Source organism: Homo sapiens, chromosome 3, assembly GCF_000001405.40.
Source record: "Homo sapiens chromosome 3, GRCh38.p14 Primary Assembly".
NCBI lineage: Eukaryota > Metazoa > Chordata > Mammalia > Primates > Hominidae > Homo > Homo sapiens.
In genome coordinates, this window is record NC_000003.12 from 8,008,410 (window position 1) to 8,032,291 (window position 23,882).

Sequence of the window (23,882 nt, forward strand, 5' to 3'; positions counted from 1 at the left end):
CCAATAAAAGATTTTCCTGCATTAGAACTGTCAAAGAGAATGACCTTACCACTGTATAGTCTCCATGAACTCAGAATCAAAGACAGGATTGTTTCTTATAAAAATGCTATTGAAAGTTTGTTAGATTAAGCCTTATCTAACACATGCTAAATAAAATGGTGATTGGGGAAGTAATTTTGAGAATGCAGGCAACCCACACACTTCTCTCAGGTTATCTGAATAATTTATTTATGTTTTCTCCTCACGAATTTGGGTTGTTCTGATTAATTTACTGCTTAATGACCTGACCACAGGAAGGAGAACAGGGAAAGGAAGATTTGGTCGAATTCAACACATTTTTAATGAATGCATATTCAGACCAACTACAGAACAAAGCACTGGAGATATATTCTATAGCAGGGGTAAGGAAGAGACAGACACTTTCTGAGATCCCAGAATGTACCGTTGAGCTACAAACTTGCTCAGACCCTCAATGCCATTCTCAAGGACTCACACAGGCATATGAGGCATCCCTTGGGAGCATATATGATGGATTCCCAAAGAAGTTTCAATTGGTAAGATTTTGTGCTGTCATCTAGGGACCATTAACATAATTCCAAAATTTCAACACTTGAAAATACAATCTAGGTTCTTATTGATCTGGAAGCTCAGTAAAATCACAGTCCTTTGTGTCTAGGTTTTAAACTATTTTCTACATTTTGGGTATATTTTACAAACTATTTTCTTAAGCTACTTGTAAGCCATTATTTATGTGGGTCCTGCCTCTGAGGATTCCTCTGCATGTCAGCAATGATGTTTTTTCAGAATTTGGTACCAGGACCTCCTACATCACAGCCATTTGGCAAGCTTGTTAGAATGTATATTCTAAGACTTCCCAAAAACCCACTGAATCATAGTACTTGAGGAAGAGACCTAGGCACCTGCATTTTACTCATCTGAACATGGTGATGTGCCTACAAGTTTGAGGACAAATTGTCTAGAGTTAAAACATTACACAAATGCTGAACTTGAATAATATGGCTTATTATCTTCATGAAACTTAAAAAAAAAAGACTTTAAGCAAAACTTCTTAGGAAGTTACAATGCAATTATGAAAGGTGAGTAAAAAGCTGAAGCTAAATACATCAGGGAAGAAAGAAAGCTTATCTTGCCAAAACTCCTGGCAAAGTCCAACAGTTTTCTAAGGTCTTAGAAATAATATTGGCTTCTGAAGATAAATGAGTTTATGAAATAAGAAATTTTGTCATTCCATTATTATGTGCAAGTAGATCGGGTTTGGGTTGAGGAGCAGCTCCTTTCCCTATGCATGTCATTTTTACTCTATTTTTTCCCAAGGCCTTGGGTTGGCTGGCTGTCTTTACAAGGTTAGATAATAAAAGTAAGAAAAATCTACTGGATTCCCTAGACCAATATATCCAATAGAAATTTGTGCAAAGATGGAAATACCATCCATCCTCATTATTTATGGATTCCAAATTTGCAAATTTGCCCAATCGCTAAAATTTATTTCTCCAAAGTCAATACTCACAGGGCTTTTGTGATCATTCATGGATGAATTTGAGTGAAAAATGTGAGTTACCAGATATGTACATTCCAAGCTGAGATCGAACAAGACCTCATCCTGTCTTCTTGTTTTCAGCTCTCATACTCTATCTGATTTTAGGTCTCTTTAGTGCCATGTTGTTCATATTTTTGCACTCTTTTTTGGTGATTTCACTATTTAAATAGTGCCCAAGTGTAGTGATAAAGTACTGTCTAATGTTCCTAAGCACAAGAAAGCTGTGTTGTGCCTTATGGAGAAAATAAGTGGATTAGATCAGATTCATCCAGGCATGAGTTATAGGGCTGTTGGCCATGAGTTCAATGTCAATGAATCAATTATATATATATATATGTATATATATATATGTATATATATATATGTATATATATACATATATATATGTATATATATACATATATATATGTATATATATACACATATATATATAAAATAAGGTGTTTTAAACAGAAATACATAACACAAGGTTATATAATGAATGCTTGATGAAAACGTTATGACCATAGGCTCACAGGAACCTAACTCAGTATTTCTGCTAGGAGGGAATGTTCAGTATTCACTAATGCAGTGCTCATGGAGACTATAGAATATAACTATCATGAATAATGAGAATTGACTGTATTCCATTCTGAGGATGCTAGCCACTCATGACTATTGAGCACTTAAAATGTAGCTAGCACAAGGAAGACGGTAAATTTTTATTTACATGTTAGTAAAATTTAAGTAAATTGAAATAAAATACAATTTTGCAATTACAGTAGCCACATGTGGCCAGTGGTTATTTTATGTGCAATGCAGCTGTAGACTCTGGAAGCCCTGGTTCTCATGAGGCGCATGTATTAGTTTAGTGTTGTTGAATAACTAACTACCATGTGTCAACGAAGAGTGAAACTGTAAAATATTTGAAAAAATTTATTCTGAGCCAAATATCAGTGACCATGGTCCATGACTCAGCCCTCGGGAGGTCCAGAGAACATGTGCCCAAGGTGTTGGTGTGCAGCTTGGTTTTACATATCTTAGGGAGACATGAGACATAAATCAATCAATTTGAGAAATACATTGGTTTGGTCCAGAAAGCCGGGACAACCCAAAGTGGGGTGGTGGGCGGGGTGGGGGTTTCCAGGCTAAAGGTAAATTTAAGCATTTTCTGGTTGACGGCTGAATTTCTCTAAAGATCTGGTATCAAACAGAAAGGAATGTCTAGGTTAAGATAAGAGGCTGTGGAGACCAAAGTTTAATCATGCAAACAAAGCTTTTAGCTAGCAGGCTTCAGGGAGAATAGGTTGCAAAATGTTTCTTATCAGACTTAAAGTCTGTGTTGATGTTAATGCTGAAGAGGTATAATGAGGCATGTTCAGCCCCCACTTTCCATCATGGCCTGAAACAGACTCTCAGGTTAAATTTTAAGAGGACTGGCTGAGGAGGAAGTCCATTCAGAGGGCTGGGGGGCCTTAGAATTTTATTTTTGGTTTCTACATGTGCTTAATGGCTTAAAATAACACAGATTTATTTTCTCAGTCTCTCTGGATCAGGAGTCTGGGCATGGATTAGCTGAGTTCTCCGCTTTAAGGTCTCAGACTGCAAGCCATGTATTAGCCAGGGCTATAGCCTCATCTCAAGACTCAACTGGGAAAGGATCCACTTCCAGCCTCATGTGGAGGTTTGCTGAATTCAGTTCCTTGTGGTTATAGTGAAACCGCCTTTGCAAACATGATAACTAAGAAATTATAACAGTGAAAGATATCAGACCTAACCAACTTCACCTTGCTTCTAACCTCTAAACTGTCCTTGTCCATTCCTGGATGTAGGCCGAACTAGGCTTGGGAAGGAATTTAGTTTATAGTTTAAATAATAGCCCTTCCCAAAAGCTAAACTGTTAATTGTAAAATTAATGAAAGGCCTCCAGCCACCAAGTTAGAATGAGAGGAGCTGGAATTCTAAATATTACCAGCCGTTATTCCGGAGGTCATAACATTTGCAACTTTGCCAATTATTCTTAAAGGTAACATCACTGTTGTGGACCTAAAGTGGGCCTTTTGAGATGTCTTTTCAAATTTTTGCATTTCTAACAACTGGATGGCCTCACCTGGACCTGCCAACCAGTTGTGTGGCCCCCACCCAGGAACTGACTCAGCATAAAAGAACAGCTTCAACTCCCTATGATTTCATCCCAGAGCCAACCAATCAGCACTCCCAATTCACTGGCCCCGCTACCCACCAAATTATCCTTGAAAACTCTGATCCCTGAGTTTTCAGGGAGACTGATTTGAGTAATAATAAAACTCCTGTCTCCTGCACAGCCAGCTCTTCATAAATTATTCTTTCTCTATTGCAATTTCCCTGTCTTGATAAATCAGCTCTGTCTAGGCAGTGGGCAAGGTGAACCCATTGGGTATTTACAGTAGGACTGAGGGGCTTTTTCTTTCTTTCTTTCTTTTTTTTTTTTTTTTTTTTTTTTTTGGCTAACTGTTGGCTGGAGACTGCCTCCCTAAGTTCCTTTCCTAAGTTTTTTGCCATGTGAACCTACCCAACATTGCCACTTGCTACATCATAGCCATCAAGGAAAAGAATCAGCTCCCAAGAAGAGTATGTTATCCAAAAGATCACCAGGATGGCTGAATAGTAGAAGTGTTACCAGGGGTCCTTGCTCCCAGAGCTCCCAAGATAGTGGCAGGCCGCTTCTAAGATGGTGGCAAGCCTCCTTTTCTCTAACCTGGGGTTCTTGGCCTCATGGATTCCAAGGAATGGAATCTTGGGCCATGCAGTGAGTGTTATAGCTCTATTAGAAGCCTTGGGTCACAGAAGAGAACCGTGGAACCCAGTGACTAGTGTTCATCTCGATTAGGATGAACCCGGGTACTTAGCCATGCAGGAACAATGGCAAGCCTTTAGCCCTATTGGGAGCAGCAGTGGGTGCCTTGCTGGCTCAGAAGCACAGCGGACACCCTTCAGGTGTCACTTCCATCCAGAGGGATGGAAGTCAGCCGCGGGTCTACGACGGCAGCAAACAGCAGTGGTGGATGGCGAGCGAAAGCTCAACTCAAGCCATAACAAACACAGACCAGAAAAGAGTGCAGTTGCAAGATTTAATAGAGTGAAATAGAGTGAAAACAGAGCTGCCATACAAAGGGAGGGGACCAAAGAGGGTAACCATTGCTGGCTCCAATGCCTGGGTTTATATCCCGATCATTGTCCCTCCCGCTGTGCTCTCAGGGGATAGATGATTGGCTATTTTTTTACCTCCTGTTTTTGCCTAATTAGCATTTTAGTGAGCTCTCTTTACTACCTGATTAGTCGGGTGTGAGCTAAGTTGCAAGCCCCGTGTTTAAAGGTGGATGCAGCTACCTTCTCAGCTAGGCTTAGGGATTCTTAGTTGGCCTAGGAAATCCAGCTAATCCTGTCTCTCAGAAGGGAGAGCTTCATCTGTGATATCAGTTTACAAACCTGAAAGAGACAGTCTCTGGAGTTTACCAGAGACTGACGTTATTATGCCTTACAGGGTCTGTATTACATAATAGAGTCATATGTATTTAGCAGGTTTGAGGAAAAGTTATACGTATTTATGAGAGGGATCGAACACATGCATGATGGTAAACATACATGTAACGTACATTCCCATGTTCACACTGGGGCAGGGTTTTAGCATTAAGATGAGACAGAATTTGGCTCTTTACATCAAAAGGTAAAGTCTACGATACAAAGACAGTTTCTGCAGTCTCTGCTGAAACTGGCTTGAGGTCTACAGTTGCGTATCAGGAAAGAGTGTTTGTAAGGCCAGTCCTCCTTCTAATCAGAGTTTTAGTGATCTGGGTTGTAAACCAGAGTTAGAAGAGTCTGATAGCTCCATTGTTAGGAAGTTTAGCAAGTGTGATTCTTTTGCAGCTCTAGGAATTTAGGAAGTTGCCATTCATGCCAACCAAGCCCTAAACCCTCTATCTGTAGGTAATTTTTGATTCTGTAACCTTAGGGTCTATCCTAGTTGATAAAGGGGTGTGTATTTTGGTCTCTCAGATCATAAGCATTATAATCTTACATAAAATCATCATGGAATTTACATTTCATCACCTTCTCAGCATTCTGTTGCTTAGAAGCAAGTCACAGGTCTGTACACACTTCTGGAGAGGAGATTACATGGGGTGTGAATACCAGGAGGTAGGTAACATGGGGCTTCCTGACAGACTGTCCTCCCCAGACATCCCCATGATCTTCTCTTGGGCAAGTCTTTCTACCTCATTGTGCCCGAGTTTCTGAATGTGTAAAACAAGGATAATACATATTTTATAGGATTATCATGAAACCACCTCCAAAGGGTTGACAAGAATTGCATACTGGGTTTTGAACAGAAATATCGTTATAATTAAGCATTAATAAGGCTGCACTTTGGCCTCATCCCTTCCTTGTTGCTAAAGGTCACTTAGCACTAGATTCTGAACATGTGCATACGCATCATTCCTACAGATAGGATTTTTGACATTGGGGTCAAAAACTATTTAAGAGTTGATTTGCATCTCCATTGTTTCTATACACAGGATCTCTCACACTAGAAAGGCTTTTGCTTAAGGATCCCTTAAGATGTTTTGCAGATCTTTTATTCCAGCAACCAATTTGAAGACCTTCCACAGAGGAACAGGATCAGCATGAGAATATGGCTTTTTCATCTCCAGGTTCCATGACCCTGTACTCTTTGACCAATCAATAATGTCCATGTTTTGGCCCATTCTAAACCTTAAAAACCCGAAGTCCAAATTCCTTAGAGAGATAGATTTAAAGTTTGTTCTCATCTCCTTGTTAGGTGACCCTACAATTAAATCTTTCTCTGCTGCAACCTGGTGTCTTGGCATATTGAATTGCTGTGTGCACTGTGCAATTAAACAATTATGGTTACAACCATATGAATTAATCACGGATTAAATGGCGTTGTCTAGTCTATGACAGAATATGAATAATTGCTATACTACTGGTATTATTATTTAACGTAACAGTGATCTTCATTCCAACCTAGTGGTTGCAAATGGAACAATCTTCATTTTACCACAGAGAAACTGAAGCCCCCACTAGTCTTATATTTTTCTGACCCTGTGGTTTCAGGGCATGCAAGGCAACTCTCAGTTTTCTTGGTTCAGTTGGGCCCACAAAGATTAGGATTTCACAGCAAACAAGGCAGGCACAACATAACATATTTATTTTAACACTATAGTCTCCAATGAAATAGGACTCTGAGGTCATCCCAAACTTGTTTTACTTTATTATATAGATGTACGTGTGTGTGTGTGTGTGTGCATGTGTTTGTATATATATATACACACACACGTATATATACACACACATACACATATACATATATATGATTTATCATATATAATAGTTATATAGAGAAAACACACACATATATCATCAAATATGTATCTATATTTAGTGAGATATAATTTACATACTATAAAATGCATCTACAGTGTACAATTCAATGACTTTTAGTATATTCATTCAATTGTTGTAGGACTTTCTCCTTAGTTCAGCTAAAAATGGGGTCCTTGTCACACAACCATGAAATATTAGGCTCGCAGATACTTTGAAGGGTGAAAAAAATGGAATTTGTTGGGCAAAAAGGAAAAAAAATGGGAAACAGGGACTCTCAGCAGAGCAAGAGTTTTACTAGTATAGGCTTCCTGCTTTACAGATTGAATCCCAGATACCAACCAGGAAGAGGAGGAGCCAGGCTCCTCCCCTCTGCAAATGGGGTGGACTTCTGTGGCTCCACCACAGTGTGCATTCCTCCCACTGTGCATGTTGGTTGAAGTTTCTCTGGGGACCCCATCCACCTGGCTGTCTCATTCCCTCCTATAAAGAAGTACATCTAACTGCCATTAGAATAAGTATAAGAATAAGGATGAAGACTGATCCTTAACTGTTTCCTGCTGATAGTGGGGGCTGTTTTGGGGAAATGGCAGTCAGAGCTCCCTCGGAGGCCTATCTCAGGGTCCCTGGCAAAAGGGACCATCGCCGGAGGCTCCAGTTGCATGACCGTTTGGAGTTTGATGGCTTGAAGGCAAGAAAAGACACACTGGGTTATTAGAAAACGTATCAAAATGAAACACTGGGAGGGGTGAGGAAAATTTAAAAATACTGAGACCTTTTACTGTTTTTCACAGAGAGAGGGAGGCCAAAAATCCGACTGGTAAAAAACTTCACCCTTTTGTCAGCATGTTGAGTTTCTGGGTTCTCTTCCCCTGAGCCCAATCCTAAGCCAACCAGTTTAAGCTTTGGGAAATTAACTCTTTCCAGTTTAGAGGATGCATCTGAGGGAAGTGTCCCATAGTATGAAGACATAATTACCTATCTGTGAAGAGAAGACAGAGAAGGAGAGAAGGAAAAAAGAAGGAATTTTTTTCAAAGGAGTCCCAGGGCTTCAGGATGCATTTGAAAGGGGTACAGACTGAAGATGAATGGCTACCCTTCTAGAAAGAGGAGAGCAGGCATCTCTGATTCCCTTCCTCTTCTAGCAGATACCCAGGGTACCTGAGGGAGAGAAGGAAGAGCATCTGTTTCCCTCTTCTGTCCTTACATCCCCAAGTCCTGGCAACCTTGGCAAGTGCCACCATGGGTGTTAAAATGGCTTTCACCCATGTTAACAGGGCAGGGAGGGAGGTGGGAATTATTCACTCTTACCCACATACACCCTGTCTACCCTGCTGTCAGTAGCCTTGAATTACCTATACCTCATTTATGCCCATGGATACTAGCATGGCCTTTATCCGTGAAATGGGAAGCTTGGCTTAATTGGCAGGAATAGCCATACTCACCTGGGCTGTGCCTTTTAACGTTCATCATTGTCTGCCTCTGGATCCTTCAGATCCAGTTTTCTTTCCTAGGGCTTTGACTGGAAGCTTGGAATTGAGTTTGGGACAAAAATATGTCTCAAGGGGTGGGGTTGTATGAACTCCTTATCATAGCCAAATGCTAAGGTGAAACTGTGGAACTGAGTCCTCCTCCAACAAGGGAGAGAAAAGGATGTCTTGTGACACATAAAGATAACTGGTAGCTATAGTTATGCTTGCTAGGATTTAGGTGCATTGTGTTTGGCTTTTGTTAGCTCCCTTGGTCTTACTTTTCCAAAAGGATTCCTCCAAGTGATGGGCATCTTATTTATTCCCATCGCCTGGCAGGATTTGCAGGATAATTGCTCAGAACTAGAATATTGATCCAGATTTTCACATTACCCATTCTTCTTTTTCTTTCTGAGCTGTAGTGAGAGATTGCTGGTTGGGTCACAGGAACAAACAGGGTTAGTATAAAAATGTAGGCAAAAATGTAAAAAACTAATGAGTTTAGAATTTAATGACAAACTTATGTTGAGATTTGAAACATAATTTCAATCTCTCCAGTCCTCATTTTTATAAAAAAAAAAGTCATGATAAGACTGAGTTGTTTGAAAAATAGATTTTATTCTTATACTTGGCCTGATTATTTGCGGAAAATGCAGCCAGAATAACTATTTCTACATAAGCCTTTTGGATTGGCTTTGATGGAACTTTGTGCTGTAAGGAATCACAGATAAAACCTCTTTTTTTTTTTTTTTTTTTTGAGACCGAGTCTCGCTCTGTCACCCAGGCTGGAGTACAGTGGCGCAATCTTGGCTCACTGCAAGCTCCACCTCCTGGGTTCATGCCATTCTCCTGCCTCAGCCTCCCAAGTAGCTGGGACTACAGGTGCCCACCACCATGCCTGGCTAATTTTTTGTATTTTTTAGTAGAGACAGGGTTTCACTGTGTTAGCCAAGATGGTCTTGATCTCCTGACCTCGCGATCCACCACCTTGGACTCCCAAAGTGCTGGGATTACAGGTGTGAGCCACTGCGCCCAGCCTGATGAAACCTTTTAAAGCTGAGCCCAGTGATGTGTTTTTATCCTCAAATACCTGTGAGTTGGGTGAGCCTCTCCTCTTAATGTCCCAAGATGAACTTGGAGCACCTAGGTCTGTTAGAAAGTGATATTCTGTATTTACCACAGGTCAGGAACCCTGTACAAGGACTGCATAGGCAAGAGTATGAGGCCAATTTGTTTTTCCCCAAGGGCCTTTTATTGGCTCTGCAATTTGAGCTTGACTCCTTAAAGGGAAGCATACCCTTCCAGTCAAAGCCTTGGTAAAATAACCAGTTTCTCCAATTGTGTCCTGTTGCAAAACAAAAATGGATTCTTATTGCACTGATGCAAAGAACTATATGGTCATAAGTTAAGAATACTCACAGATAGTTTCCAAATTCTAGAGGAACCAGGCAGAGAGAAATAAACATGCTCCAAATTTTGTTCATAGGAGTATAACTTACTTAGTTATTAAAGGCTGTAAATAGTTCAAAATATGTTTCCATGACTCTGAGAACAAAACAAGGATCAGCAATATTCCAAGAAAAAGTTAGAAAGATTATTTCAGTTTTCTGAGTTCAATACATTTAGTTTTTGTTTTGCTTGATATTCATGAACATATCAGCTCTTCTTGAGTCCTGTACATTTTTCCTTTATTCTAATGTTACAATCTCCAAAGTTATCAGAAACTTGTATTTGAGAACACCTGTCAAAGTTCTGTAGCTTATCATAAACCATCCTTTAAAAAGGATTAAAACAAGGAATAAAATGTCTGTGAATAGCAAAATGTCCAGGGTAGACACAGTTAGAAACACAATTGATAAAGAAGTTTGGTTATCTCCGTGGTTTTCAATAACTTAACAACCTAAACTATGATTGATAGCACATTATTAGACATTAGAATTTTTTAAATGCTATACAATTTTGAAACACATATTAGTATTATTCACCAAAATATAACCTAAAGAGGATTGAACACCATTTTGGCAATCCCATGTACCTAAACATGTCAACTAATACTGTTTACCTCTCTTTTCTGGACAATCCAGGGGCTCTTCTGGAGCCTCTGAAAATCCAGGTGTCAAGAAAGAAAATTTTGAAACTGAAGATTGATTTGGGGAAGCCTGTTACATATGTTAGAGGATTAAAACACTTGATGTTATGAAATAGAATTCCACAGTGCCATAAATTATTTATTTTGCCAAATGATGATTCAGAATTTCAAAGAAGCAAAAATCTTTACTCATTAAGAGAGAAGACTTAGCTTTCCAAACAATTCATCTCCTATCTTCTCTTCCTTTGCCTTGGCAGTCTATTCTTAAGGCAAATGAAAATCTTTCACTATCCTTTACTATTACATGAAAATCTTGTATAAAGGAGAGAAATCCAAAATTTCACCCTTACTACTATTGTCAAACCCAATTGTTAAATGAAACCTTATAGACAATTCTATGTAACCTTAACCAATTTGACCATGAGGCAAGATTCTTATAAACCTTTTATAACCCTTTACAAATTTTGCTAAAGAGCAGATTAGTGCCGTAAGAAAACCTTGTCGTGTTTTTATTTCAATACTCAATTTACAAAAAAACTATGTAATAACCTTTTGATTTCCACTCAATGTTCACACACAGAATTTCTTTTGCAAGCTTAATTTTTAGAAACCTTTCACCACTTGTTTGAACCTTCAGCTTTATCTTATCTAATTTAAAACAATTTAAAACCCTAGGCAAATATTTACATTTCCATGCCTTCTTATAACCTTTTACTAAAAAATACATTTTACTGTTCTCACAGACCTCGCATGTAAATCTATTTCCAGTAGTTTCAATTACATGTTATAACGGTAAATTTTAGCAATTTTTAACTTTAATGTAAAACCTGGTAAGTTGTTTTAATTGAGTGTTAAATGCAGCAAGGTTTGACTCCTTCCAGCATAATTAAGGGTGTAATTAGTTCCATATGGTCCCCAGGCCTTATCAATTGTGGGACAGGCAAGTTAAATAGTTCTCAAAACTTAAAAGGCAGAATATAACTTTAACACACTTGCCAAACCTTGCATCTGACCTGCATAATTTAGTCCACTTATTTACATTTTGATGGTATCTGCATTTTACCAATAATTTTTAAGGCTGTTTTTATATCTCAAAGATTAAAGTCATGTGAACTGAAAGGTACCACAACTTTTGTCTTCCTTTTAAAATATATTTGATCCAAGTGCTTATCTCCCATTAGGCCAAATTAATTAGAGCTCTTTTTACAGACATCATACACATAACACATATATACATACACAGACGGGAAAACCCAGTCCCTAGGTGGAGGCCGTTAAGAGACAGGGCTAGGAAAACATGCAGATATTAAATGAGAAAGGACTCATTCCCTAAGGCAGAATTGCTAAACAAAGCCTTGCCACGGGGTCACAGGCCACACCACTGAGAGGTAAAACAAGACGGAGGCCTGCAATGAAGTCTGCTACAAACCATACAGATATGCAAAGCACATAAGATTGGCTACAGCTTAAGACCAGCCCTGTAAATGCTTTTTCACAATTAAAAATTTACAGAGAATATAAACAGTAATCCTTATCATTCCTAGCCTAGTATAACTTCTTCCAAAAGGAACAAAAACGTTTAAAAGTTAACTGCTGATGGGGTGGAGATGAAAAAAGGATGCCTGGGGTAAAAACCTCTTATGCAACTAGTTCCTCCACCAGAGAGAAAAGCTTAATTGCTGTGGGACAGAGCAGGCCTCCCTGGCTGGGGGATGGGGAAACTCCACGGGTATGTGGCAGGGAATGCCAGCCAGCTGTATGGGGTGCCTTGAGGCCAGGCAGCTGCTGTGGCTCATTCCTGCCCTGTGTGGCCATTGTACACTGTGCACACATGTGACAGACACGGCCATGCACCCCAGCCAGTAGGGAAGAAGGAGGAGGGAACAGGGAGCTGCCCCACCCAACCATCCCTTGCACATGCCTGTGGCTGTTGGGGTGGGTGTGAACCTCCTCCAGTATTGTAAAAGAAAAAATAAGTGTCATTACTGTCCCGAAAAAAGAAAAGAAGAATGCCTTAAGACCAAAATGCTTAGAGGCAACAGTGAGAGGTTTTGAGTCCTCATTTCATTCACCCCTTCTCAATCCCCACATTGGGCACCAAAGTTGTTGTTGGACATTCTCCTTAGTTCAGCTAAAAACAGGGTCCTTGTCACATGACGATGAAATATTAGGCTCGCAGACACTTTGAAGGTAAGAAAAATGGAATTTATTGGGCAAAAAGGAAAAAAAGCAAAACAGGGACTTTCAGGAGAGCGAGAGTCCTGCTATTATAGGCCCCCCACCTCACAGACTGAATCCCAGGTACCATCCAGGAAGAGGAGGGGCCAGGTTCCTCACCCCTGCAAATGACATGAACTTCCTGAGGCCCTACCCCAGCGTGCACTCCTCCCAGTGTGCAGGCTGGTCGAAGGTTCTCTGGTGACCCCTTTATACTTTGCTGTCTTACAATTATGCAATTATTACCACTTTCTAATTTCAGAATGTTTTCTTCACCCATAGAAAACACTCCATAACCAATAGCAGTCACTCTCAGACCCTGGCAAACACTAATCTATTTATGGTCTCTATGAAATTGCATATTTTGTATATTTTATATGAATGGAGTTATATAATATGTAGCCTCTTGTGTTTTACTTATTTTACTTAAAATAGTTTTTTCACAGTCCATCCATGTTATAGCCTGTGTCAGTACCTCAATATATTTTGTGACTGAATCATTTTATTGTATGGCTATACCACCACATTTTTAAAATCAGTTCCTCAATTGATGGACATTTGGATTGTTTCCATGTTTTACTACTATAAATAATGCTGCTGTGAACATTTATGTATACATTTTTTTGTGTGCATATGTTTTCAATTCTCTTGGATACATACCTAAGAATGGAATTGATGAATTGTTTGGTAACTCTATGTTTTAACTTTTGGAAGAACTGTCAAACTGTCTTCGAAGTGGGTGTACCACTTATATTTCCACCAGCAATCTGTGAGGGCCCCAATTTCTCCACATCCTCACCAACACTTCCTCTTATCTATGTTTTTAATATAGCCATCTCAAAGGGTGTGAAGAGATACTTTATTGTGGTCTTGATTTGCATTTACCAAATAATTAATGATGTTGAGCGTGTTTTCATGTGCATATCAGCAATTTATATATATATATATAAATAATATAAATAAAGAATATATATATATATATATATATAAAGAATATATATATATATATTCTTTGGAGAAATGTTTATTCAAGTCCTTTGCTCATTTCTAAATTGGCTTATTAAGTTTCCCAAATTGTTGAATTACAAGGGCACTTCATGTATTCCTGATATTAGTCCCTTATCAGATGGATGACCTGCAAATATTTTCTCCCATTCTGTGGATTGTATTTTCACTCTCTTGATAGCATACTTTGCAGCACAAAGGTTTTTAATTTGGATAAAGCATAATTTATCATTGTTTTCTTTTTTTGATTATGCTTTTGGTTTCATATCTATAAAGCCATTCCCTAATACAGCTTTATACAGCTTCACATCTAGGTTTTATTATAGAAGATAATTTTCTTATAGAAGATAATTTTAGCTTTTGCATTTAGTTCTTTGATTTATTTTCAGTTAATACATGTGAATGGTATGAGGCAGAGGGTCCAACTTCATTATTTTTCATGTGGATATTCAGTTGTTTTAGCACTATTTTTCGAAAGACTATTCTTTCCTCTATTGAATTATCTTTCTACTCTTGTAAAAAAAAAGTAATTGGACAAAAAATTATGAATTGATTTCTGGACTCTCAATTTTATCCCATTGATCTATATATCTATCCTTATGTCAATGCCTCACAGTCTTGGTTGTTTAATTTTATAGTAAGTTTTAAAATTGCAAGGTGTGAGCCATCCAACTTGGTTTGTATTTTTAAAGATTGTGTTGGCTATTCTGGATCCCTTGCATTTCCATGTGAATTTTAGAACAGTTGGTTGATATTAGCAAAAAAGCAAATGTGATTTTCATAGAAATATTTATTTTTATAAGGAATTCTAATTATATATTTCTTCTTCTATTCCTGGTTTTTGTGACTTCACTCTCCTCCCTCTTTTATTTGTTCAGTCTCAGGGGTATCCAATCTTTTGGTTTCCCTGGACCACATTGGAAGAATTGTCTTGGGCCATACATAAAATACATTAACACTAACAAGAGCTGATGAGCTTAAAAAAAAATGACACACACAAAAAAATCTCATAGTGTTTTAAGAAAGTTTACCAATTGGTGTTGGGTCACATCAAAGCCATCATAGGCCACATGTGGCCTGTGGGCCATGTGTTGGACAAGCTTGGTCTAAATAAATGTTTATCAAATTTGTTGATTTACAAAAGAACTGGGTTTTATTAATTTACTATTTCTCTATTCTCTCTTTTTAAAAACTTTCTACTTGTTTTGGGTATAGTTTGTTCTTTTCTAATTTTTAATGTGGAAGATCAGGTTACTGATTGGAGATCACGTTTTCATGAGATAGGCTCATACGTCTATAAATTTCTAAGCATTTCTTTTGCCACATTCCATATGTTTGATATGTTTCATTTTCATTTTTATTCAGTTCAAAGTATTTTCTAATTTATCTTGTGATTTCACCCATTAGCTACATAGGAAAGTGTTTAATGTCCACACATTTTTGAATTATCAAGATATTTTCCTGTTAATGATTTCAGATTTTATTTCATTGTGGTCAGCAAACATACTTTGTGTGATTACAAAGTATGTTTCATTGTATTAAGATTTGTATTATGGCCTAATATATACTTTATTCTGAAAATGATTTCATGTGCACTCGAGAAAAATGTGTATTATTCTGTTGTCAGAATGTTTTATATGTATTTGTTAGGTTTCATTGATCTACAGTGTTGTCCAAGTATTCTATTTCCTTGATAATTTTCCTTCTTATTTGTTTTGCCATTATCTAAAGTAAGGTATTGAGTCTTCAACTGTTATTGTTCACTTTCTCTTTTTTCCTTTAATTCTGTCAGCTTTCCTTCCTGTATTTGGGGACTCTAATTTTAAGTGCACATATGTTTATAGTTGTGATGTCTTCATAATGGATTATCCTGTTTATTATTATAAAAAGTCCTTCTTTGTCTCTAAGTTAATTTCAACTTAGATCTATTTTGTTTGATGCTACTATAGGCACTCCATTTCTCTTTCAGTTACCATTTATACGGCACATCTCTTTTCATTCTTGAACTTTTAACTTATATGTGTCTTTGAACCTAAAGTGGGTCTCTTGCAGATAAAATATAGTTGTATTATGTTACTAAAAAATTCATTCTATTAATCTCTGCTTTTTTATTGAAATGCCTAATCCATTCATAGATAATGCAATTACTGATAAGGTAAGATTTACATCTCACATTGTGCTATTTGTTTTCTATACGTCTTTTGTCTTTTCTTCCCTCTTTTCCTACACTATTGCCTTCCTTTGTGTTAAGTAGATATTTTCTAACATGCCATTTTAATGCCCTTGTCATTTCTTTTAGACATTTATTTAGTTATTTTTTCTTAGTGATTGCCATGGGTATTACAATTAACATCTCAGTTTATAACAATCTAGTTTGTATTAATAACCAACTTAAATTCAAAACTGCAAAAAACTTTGCTTCTATATAGCTCAGTTCCTTCCTTATTCCCTTGCACTCTTATTCTCATATAAATTAAACCATACATTGCATAACCATTAACACAGTTTTATAATCAATGTTTTATGAAATTGCCTTTAAATCAGATAGAAGGGAGAAAAGAAGTTACTTGCAAAAATATATTTATACATTTATATTTACCTAAGTGGTTACCTTTACTAGAGCTCTTCTTTATGTGGATTTGAGCTACTTTCTAGTGTTTTTTCATTTTATCCTGAAAACTTCCTTTAGTATGCTTGTAGAGTGAATATGCTAGCAACAAATTTTCTCTTATTTTTCTGAGAATATCTTAATTGCTTCCTTATTTTTGAAGGAATGTTTTGCTAGATATAGAATTATCAGGCCGGGCATGGTGGCTGACGCCTGTAATCCTAGCACTTTGGGAGGCTGAGGCTTGCAGATCACGAGGTCAGGAGATCGACACCATCCTGGCTAACACAGTGAAACCCTGTCTCTACCAAAAATACCAAAAAAAACAAAAAAAAAAATCACCAGGTGTGGTGGCAGGTGGCTGTAGTCCCAGCTACTCGGGAGGCTGAGGAAGGAGAATGGCATGAACCTGGAAGGCGGAGCTTGCAGTGAGGCCGAGATCTGCACCACTGCACTCCAGCCTGGGTGACGGAGCGAGACTCCGTGTCAAAAAGAACAAAAAAAAGGATTATCAATTGACACTGACCCCCTGGCCCCTTGCCCAGCACTTTGAGTATGTTATCCTACTGCGTTTTGTTCTCCATGGTTTCTGATGTGAAATAAGTTGCTAATCTTAATGCAGATAATTGTATATGATGTCACCTCTCTCTTTGTCTTTGTTTGATTTTCATGTATGCAGATATGGATTTCCTTGAGTTTATCCTACTTGGATTTGTTGACTTCCTGGAAGGGTAGGTAAATTTTTTTTTTTTTTTGTCAAATTTGGCAAGTTTTTTACCACTATTCTAAAAAGTATTTTCCCCCTTTCTGTCTTTCTTCTCTTTCTTGAGCTCACATTATCCATATGTTGGTACGTTTGAAAGTGTCCCATAGGTCTCTGAGGCTCTTGTCATTTTTCTTCTTTTTGATTTTCCTATTCCTCATCCTGGATAACCTCAGTTGACCTTTTTTCTTTGTCCTGCTTAAAAAAATCCACTGTTGAAATGCTCTGGTGAATTTTTCATTTCCATTATCATACTTTTAGGTATAGACTTTCTATTTTATTCTCTTTAAATGTAATTTCTATCTCTTATTAATATTCTGTATTTGGTGAGCCATTATTCTCATAACTTTCTTTAGTTTTTTAGATATAGCTTATTTTAGTTCTTTTAACATTTTGAAACAGTTGACTTGAAGTCTTTTCTAGTAAGTATAACATTTGGTCTTCCCCCAGGACCATGCTGCATTTTAGATGTTTCTTATTTCTTTGCATATCTAGTAATTTTTTTTGAAGGTTGAACATTTGAAGTAATGTAATGTGGGAGCTCTGGAAATCAGATTCTTCCCCTTTCCGAGATATTATTGTTGTTGCTGGCTGTTTGTTTAGTGACTTTTTAAAACGAATTCTATAAAGTCTGTGTTCTCTGTTGTGTGTGGCCACAAAGTCTCTGCTCAGTTAGCTTGGTGGTCTGCTAATGTTTGGACAAACATTTCCTTAAATGCCTGAAACCAGTATATCTCTTGCTGTTTGCTGTGGAGCTTTACATCTCTGTGTGTGTGTGTGTGTGTGTGTGTGTGTGTGTGTGTGTGTGTGCCTTCAACACTCAGTCAGGCAGTTTACAACTCTGCCTAAGCCTTTAGTTTCTATTTGCACAGAGTCTCATGTCTTTCCAAGCTAAAATCTCAGGGCCTTCTCAGGTCCTTTCTGAGGTTGTACACAACTCCGGGCATGTGCATAGTAGCCCTACACATATATGTAACAATCTAGATTCTCAGGATTATATTGACATTTTTAAAAACCCCTATGAACATCTCATTCCCCAGCTTTTCCTTTTAAATTATTTTAAGTAGCCTATTATTTTCCCTATATGTTGTCTACTGCCTCAGGCAGCTGCAATGTTAAACATTTGCTGCTAATTGTTTTTGAAAAACCTACCCAAGGAAAAAAGTGTTTGTATTTGATGTTTTCCACATCAGGCAAAGACAATCCTTGCAAGTGAGTTCTTCTAGGGAACCACCAGACAGTTCAAATAATGACAATTCTTTGGGGAGGATGCTTTGAAGCAGTTCAGTTCCAATTATGCCTTCTCTAGTGGCTGCCAGGGTGCTGATTTTAACATAACTGGGGGCTGTTGTTTTGCAAGGTTATCATGAATCTTGGGAAAAGCTAAGAGCAGAACAAGTTGAAATGTGACAAAGGTTGCTTTTGTCAAGATATTCAGCCATTTTCCTCAATAAAGGCCCTTTAAATTGCTTTAAGACTTTAGTTAATTCATGTGGTTACAAAAAAAGTTAATTTTGCCAGAATTTTCATTACTTTTATAAAGGAGATTACTTTTGGACGTTTTTACCCTGCCTTTCATCTCATATGTCCCCTTTTACTTTTAGTCAATAAAAGCACTGCTTTATTTAGATTTAATGTAAATTCTACACTTCTCCAAAAATCCACAGAAAAACATTCTTTGCTTAGCAAGGATTTGCAGCTCTTGATTTCTCTCTTGTTTGAAAAAGAAATAAATTAAGCTTTTGTGTTTCAAATTTGAGTGGATTGTAATGTCCATTAGCTGGTATTACTATAACTGTCACACCACTACCACCACTAATTGTGTCATGATTATTGATTTCCTGCAGATTAAATGAATTTATCGATGGAGTATAGAGCCTGGATCCAACTTTCTCAAGCAATGAGATAGAATTTATTTTCTGGTAAAATGTATCATTAGAGGTAAGAGGTCAGATTATATTAATCTAATGATGATAATAATTATAATAATAATAAATAAGTTCCACTTGTCTGTGAGAGGCCCACCATGGAGAGTCGATACCTACAGAGACATTCTGACAAGTAGAATACATTCTTGTATCAAGAGCAAAACTAGATTAAGTTAGGGGTTGGTGAACATTAGGAAGGGTTCTGAAGCAGAAATCAAAGTATAATCTAAATCCCTGGACAGCTCTTAGAATTGAGCTTTAACACAGTGCTGCCAAACTATTTAAATAGAACTGCATCCTGTTACCATTTTTGTAAAATAAAAATGGTCAAATATTGGCAATTGTATATGGTTTACATTCACATATTTAGACCAACCCTAAATCTAGAAAACACTCCTCAACAAATAAAAATAAACAGGGGTGGTGTGGGTGAAGATTTTGATCAAATATTTTTGGCAAGTACTTGTAAATTTAGCTTCCATATTAGCATATTAAAGTCCCTGAGAAGTTATGAAATAAATAAAGTAACCCATATATCCCAATGTCTTTGATTTTGGAACTATTTTTCCCCCACAGAAAACCTTAAGGACACTTTGGGAAATACTGCTTTATGGAATTCACATATGTCAACAAGAACAGTTGTAGGTGACATAATGTCATTTAGGAATAACAGAGTGTTTTTATATTGAAAAATATAGCCTTGGGGTCTCCGGTTGTTTCAACACAGCATCTGCAGATATATTTCCCAAGATAATCAGAGGAGCTATGCTTGGATTATAAATGAGTTGTCCTCATGAGCAAGATATCTTGAGAAACATAAAATCCACTCTCATAAATGTAATATGACAGCCTGAGAGCAATAAATCCTTCCATTTTTCAGCTGAAATATCCTTTAATTCTCATCCACACATATTCTCAAGTGACTAGAGCACATGAGTAGGTGTGACAGTTTTCTTTCCTCATATTTACTGTATTTACTTTCTGAGTTACTGCCTGAGTAACTGATATTATTTGCATATGATCTGGTGCGTAAAATGTTAATCAAAAAGCACTCAACAATATGGAAACCTTGAAAAACTGGAAAGTTTGTGCATAAAGCCCTTGGATAAAGGGGAAGAAACTGAAATGTGATTTTATTAGAAGAACAGCCACCACTTTGCAGAGAACGGACTAAGGTTGCCTCACTACACCCCTGGGAGAAACAAGATTTTGTTTTAAACAGGGTTCTTTCACAATATTTGAACACATTAGTGAGCTATTGCTAGACTTGATTTTCCTCATCTGTAAGATAAGGGGGAACATATTAAACTCCTCCAGGTGCTCCCACTGAACTTCTTCCTGGCCTCATACATTTTACTGTCTCTATTATCAGATCTATTGATGTGCTTATCCCTCTCTCTAGGGCTTAAGTTTTAAAAAAGTGATTAACTAACTTTGATTTATCTTTGTTTTCCACTTAGCAATTCATGGTGGTTAAGGGTACAGTTCTGGAATTAGACTGCCTGAGATAGTTTTGATTCTATCCTACACTGGGTGTATGACCTTGGGTTTATTGATTAACTTCTTACTTCAATTCCCTCATACATCATATTGGGATTATAATCATACCTACAATGTGATTGTTCAATCCATGCATGTACTTAAGACAGTGAGTGACCCATGTTCAACTATCAATAAATGCTAACTCTTTCATACTTTTAGTACTCAGGCACTATTTATTAATTCCATAAATGAGTGGGTGATAATAACAGGCTGATGCTCCTTCTTCATCATTTCTTTTTTTTTTTTTTTTTAGTTAACTCTTTTAATTTCTCCCCCGCTCCTTCTGAATATCAGAAATAATATTGTTTCATCCTAGCAGTCTCAAAAAGACATCTTGGAACATCAGCATATCTTCTTATACTCAAATTTTCTTTTACATTTTTTATTTTATTTTCCACCCCCTGAGAATGGGACTTTTTTCACATTTTGCTATACATAAGATCTTTGATGAAGAGTACAACTATGTACTTAAAACCTTGAATTATATTTCTGCTAAATTTGGGGAAGGAATTTCTCTGAATAAATGAAATTTATGTTTCCACTAATTATCTGTCTAGCATACTAGCTGGGAGACTCTCAACTTTCAGACCAAGAGCATTTAGGAGAGAAAGTGAGCTCTCTCAAGGTGTTTCCTCTCACTGACTTCATCCTAGTCCAGCCTTCTGTAGATTTCCTGTGACATTTTAGCTTCTATAATTCTCAATTTTTATGGAAGGCTAACCATGGATTGGCGATATAACCCAAGGTTTGCTCTAGAACTGTGTTGTCAATATGGCAGCCACCAGCCACATGTTGTTACTGAGCAGTTGAAGCATGGCACATGCAAAATGACATGAGCACCAAGTGCTGAGATATGCACCAGTTTTTGAAGACTTTGTATACCCCCAAAAAGTAAAATTGTCATTAATAATTTTTTGAATTGACCACATGTTGAAATAATATTTTGAATATGTTGGGTAAAATAAAATATATTATTAAAATTAATTTCAACAGTAGTTTGCTTTTTTATATGTGGCCACTAGAAAATTTAAACCACATAGGTGGTTCACATTTGTGGTTTGTTTCAAATTTTTATTACAGAGCAATGAAAATATGCTATAGTTCATAATTTAAATCTAGAATAGTCTCTGGAACAAGTCCTGTCTTAAATTCTTTACATGTGTTTTTTCATTGAATAAAGAAGTTCGGTGAGGAATTATTATTGTTATTTGAGATTTAATAAAATTGTGAAATTCTGGAGGTGAAAAAACTTTATCAAGTGCAAGTAGAACATTAATTTTTTTTCTTTTTTTTATTATACTTTAAGTTCTATGGTACATGTGCACAACGTGCAGGTTTGTTACATATGTATACATGTGCCATGTTGGTGTGCTGCACCCATTAACTCGTCATTTACATTAGGTAAATTTTAGTTTTTTTCTGACTCTGAATTCAAGTTCTCTTTGTGGCACTAGACTACATTCTAGTGGCAAACTGACCCAATATTAAACATCAAAACCAGCCTGGCCAACATGATGAAACCCCACCTCTCCTAAAAATACATAAATTAGCTGGGCATGGTGGTGGGTGCCTGTAGTCCCAGCTACTCGGGAGGCTGAGGCAGGAGAATCACTTGAACCCAGGAGGTGGAGGTTGCAGTGAGCCAAGATGGCACCACTGCACTCCAGCCTTGGTGACAGAGGGAGACTCCACTCCATCTCAAAAAAAAATAAATAAATAAATGAAAATCTTTATCCCAGGCTGGATTCTACAGAAGCAGATGCTGAGGTGGAGTTTGGGGTAGAGATATTTATTAGAGATCTACATCTGTGGAAGAAAGAGAAAGAAATTGGGATTGAGCAGAGGAAGAAGTCAAACCATGATGTTGGCCTAACGAAGGCTCAACCAGCCCTGCAGGAAGCTCCAGCGCAAGTTTTGCCTGTCAGAGTAATCTCTCATTGGGCCAAACCAGCCAGGCCTTATACCCTTGACTCACTCAGTCACTGGATGTGTACTGCTCTGGGAAGGACTTGAACTAGGATAGGGTGGCTCTCCACAGCTGAGATGGCACTGAAGGAGACCGCAGCTGGAAGCCATCTACTGACTGCACACCCTGCAGCTCTACATCCCATAAATCCTTGAAGGAGGATCTGGGTTGTGCATCCCTAAGTGGAAAGGTATTTTAAAAAATTTTCTTGTCGTTTTTCTTCATTCCCTTTTTATTCTTCTGAATACTTCAAGGAGAAATGTCTTTTTTTTTTTCTCCCCACAGGGAAATAGTAGGCTTCAGACCCTGGGACTTGGCAGGCAGTGGAATCTAGCTATAATTTAATAATATTATTTATGTAATAGCATTTATTTTTCTACTTATATTCTATTTATAAAAATATGTATTTGTTTTCTATGTATGATTATATAAAGTTTCCTTTAAAAACATATTTATTAAAAGAAGCAATTACAGCCATACCTCGGAGATATTGCAGGCCCAGTTCCAGCAAAAGCCAAGGCAGCAAATATTGCAATAAAGACTCACAAAGTTTTTTGGTTTCTCAGTGCATACAAAAGTTATGTTTACACTATATTGTAGTTTATTAAATATGCAGTAGCATTGTCTAAAAAAACTGCATACATATTCAATGATCTTGAAGCAAAAAATTAAAGATCAACAACATACACATCGATTTAAAATACTTATTGTTAAAAAAAAGCTAATGAACATCTGAACCTTCAATGAGCCATAATCTTTTTGCTGGTGAAGGGTCTTGACTTTATGTTCAAGGTTGCTGACTGATCAAGGTAGTGGTTGCTGATCAAGATGGCTGTAGAAATTCTTAAAATAAGACAACGACTTGCCTCATTGATTGACACTTCATTTAACAAAAGATTTCTGAGTAGTATGCAATGCCATTTGATAATATTTTGCCCACAGTAGAACTTCTTTTCAAACTGGAGTGAATCCTCCCAAACCTTGCCACTGCCTTATTAGCTAGGTTGATGCAATATTGTAAATCTTTTGTTGTCCTTTCAACAATATTTATAACATCTTCACCAGGAGTAAATTCCATCTCAAAAACCACTTTCTTCGTTGATCCATAAGAAGCAACTCCTCATTTTTTCCAAGTTTTAACATGAGATTAAAACAATTCAGTTACATCTTCAGGCTCTGCTTTTAATTCTAGCTCTCTCGCTATTTTCACATCTGCAGTTACTCCCTCCACTGAAGCCATGAACTCCTCAAAGTCATCCATGAGGGTTGAAATTAACTTTTTCCAAACTCCTGTTCATGTCAATATTTTGACTTCCTCTCATGAATCACAAATGTTCTTAATAACATTAAGAATGATAAATCCTTTCCAGAAGGTTTTC

At 37.2% G+C, this 23,882-nt stretch overlaps 1 long non-coding RNA gene across 1 annotated transcript in view, besides 1 other annotated feature; it reads right to left on the bottom strand.

Annotated features, from left to right (window-relative positions):
* The window catches only part of LOC101927394 (uncharacterized), a 63,503-nt gene extending 55,605 nt beyond the window's left edge, over positions 1–7,898 (bottom strand). The window contains exon 1 of the long non-coding RNA NR_110131.1: positions 7,468–7,898. This is a non-coding gene — a long non-coding RNA (uncharacterized LOC101927394). The remainder of the gene's footprint in view (positions 1–7,467) is intronic.
* Positions 11,779–12,280: an enhancer, noted in NCBI's record as "H3K4me1 hESC enhancer chr3:8061875-8062376 (GRCh37/hg19 assembly coordinates)". NCBI's record gives its function as "activates a minimal SCP1, AML or CMV promoter by ChIP-STARR-seq in naive H9 embryonic stem cells {active_cell/tissue: H9 hESC(naive)}" and the evidence as "EXISTENCE:reporter gene assay evidence [ECO:0000049][PMID:30033119]".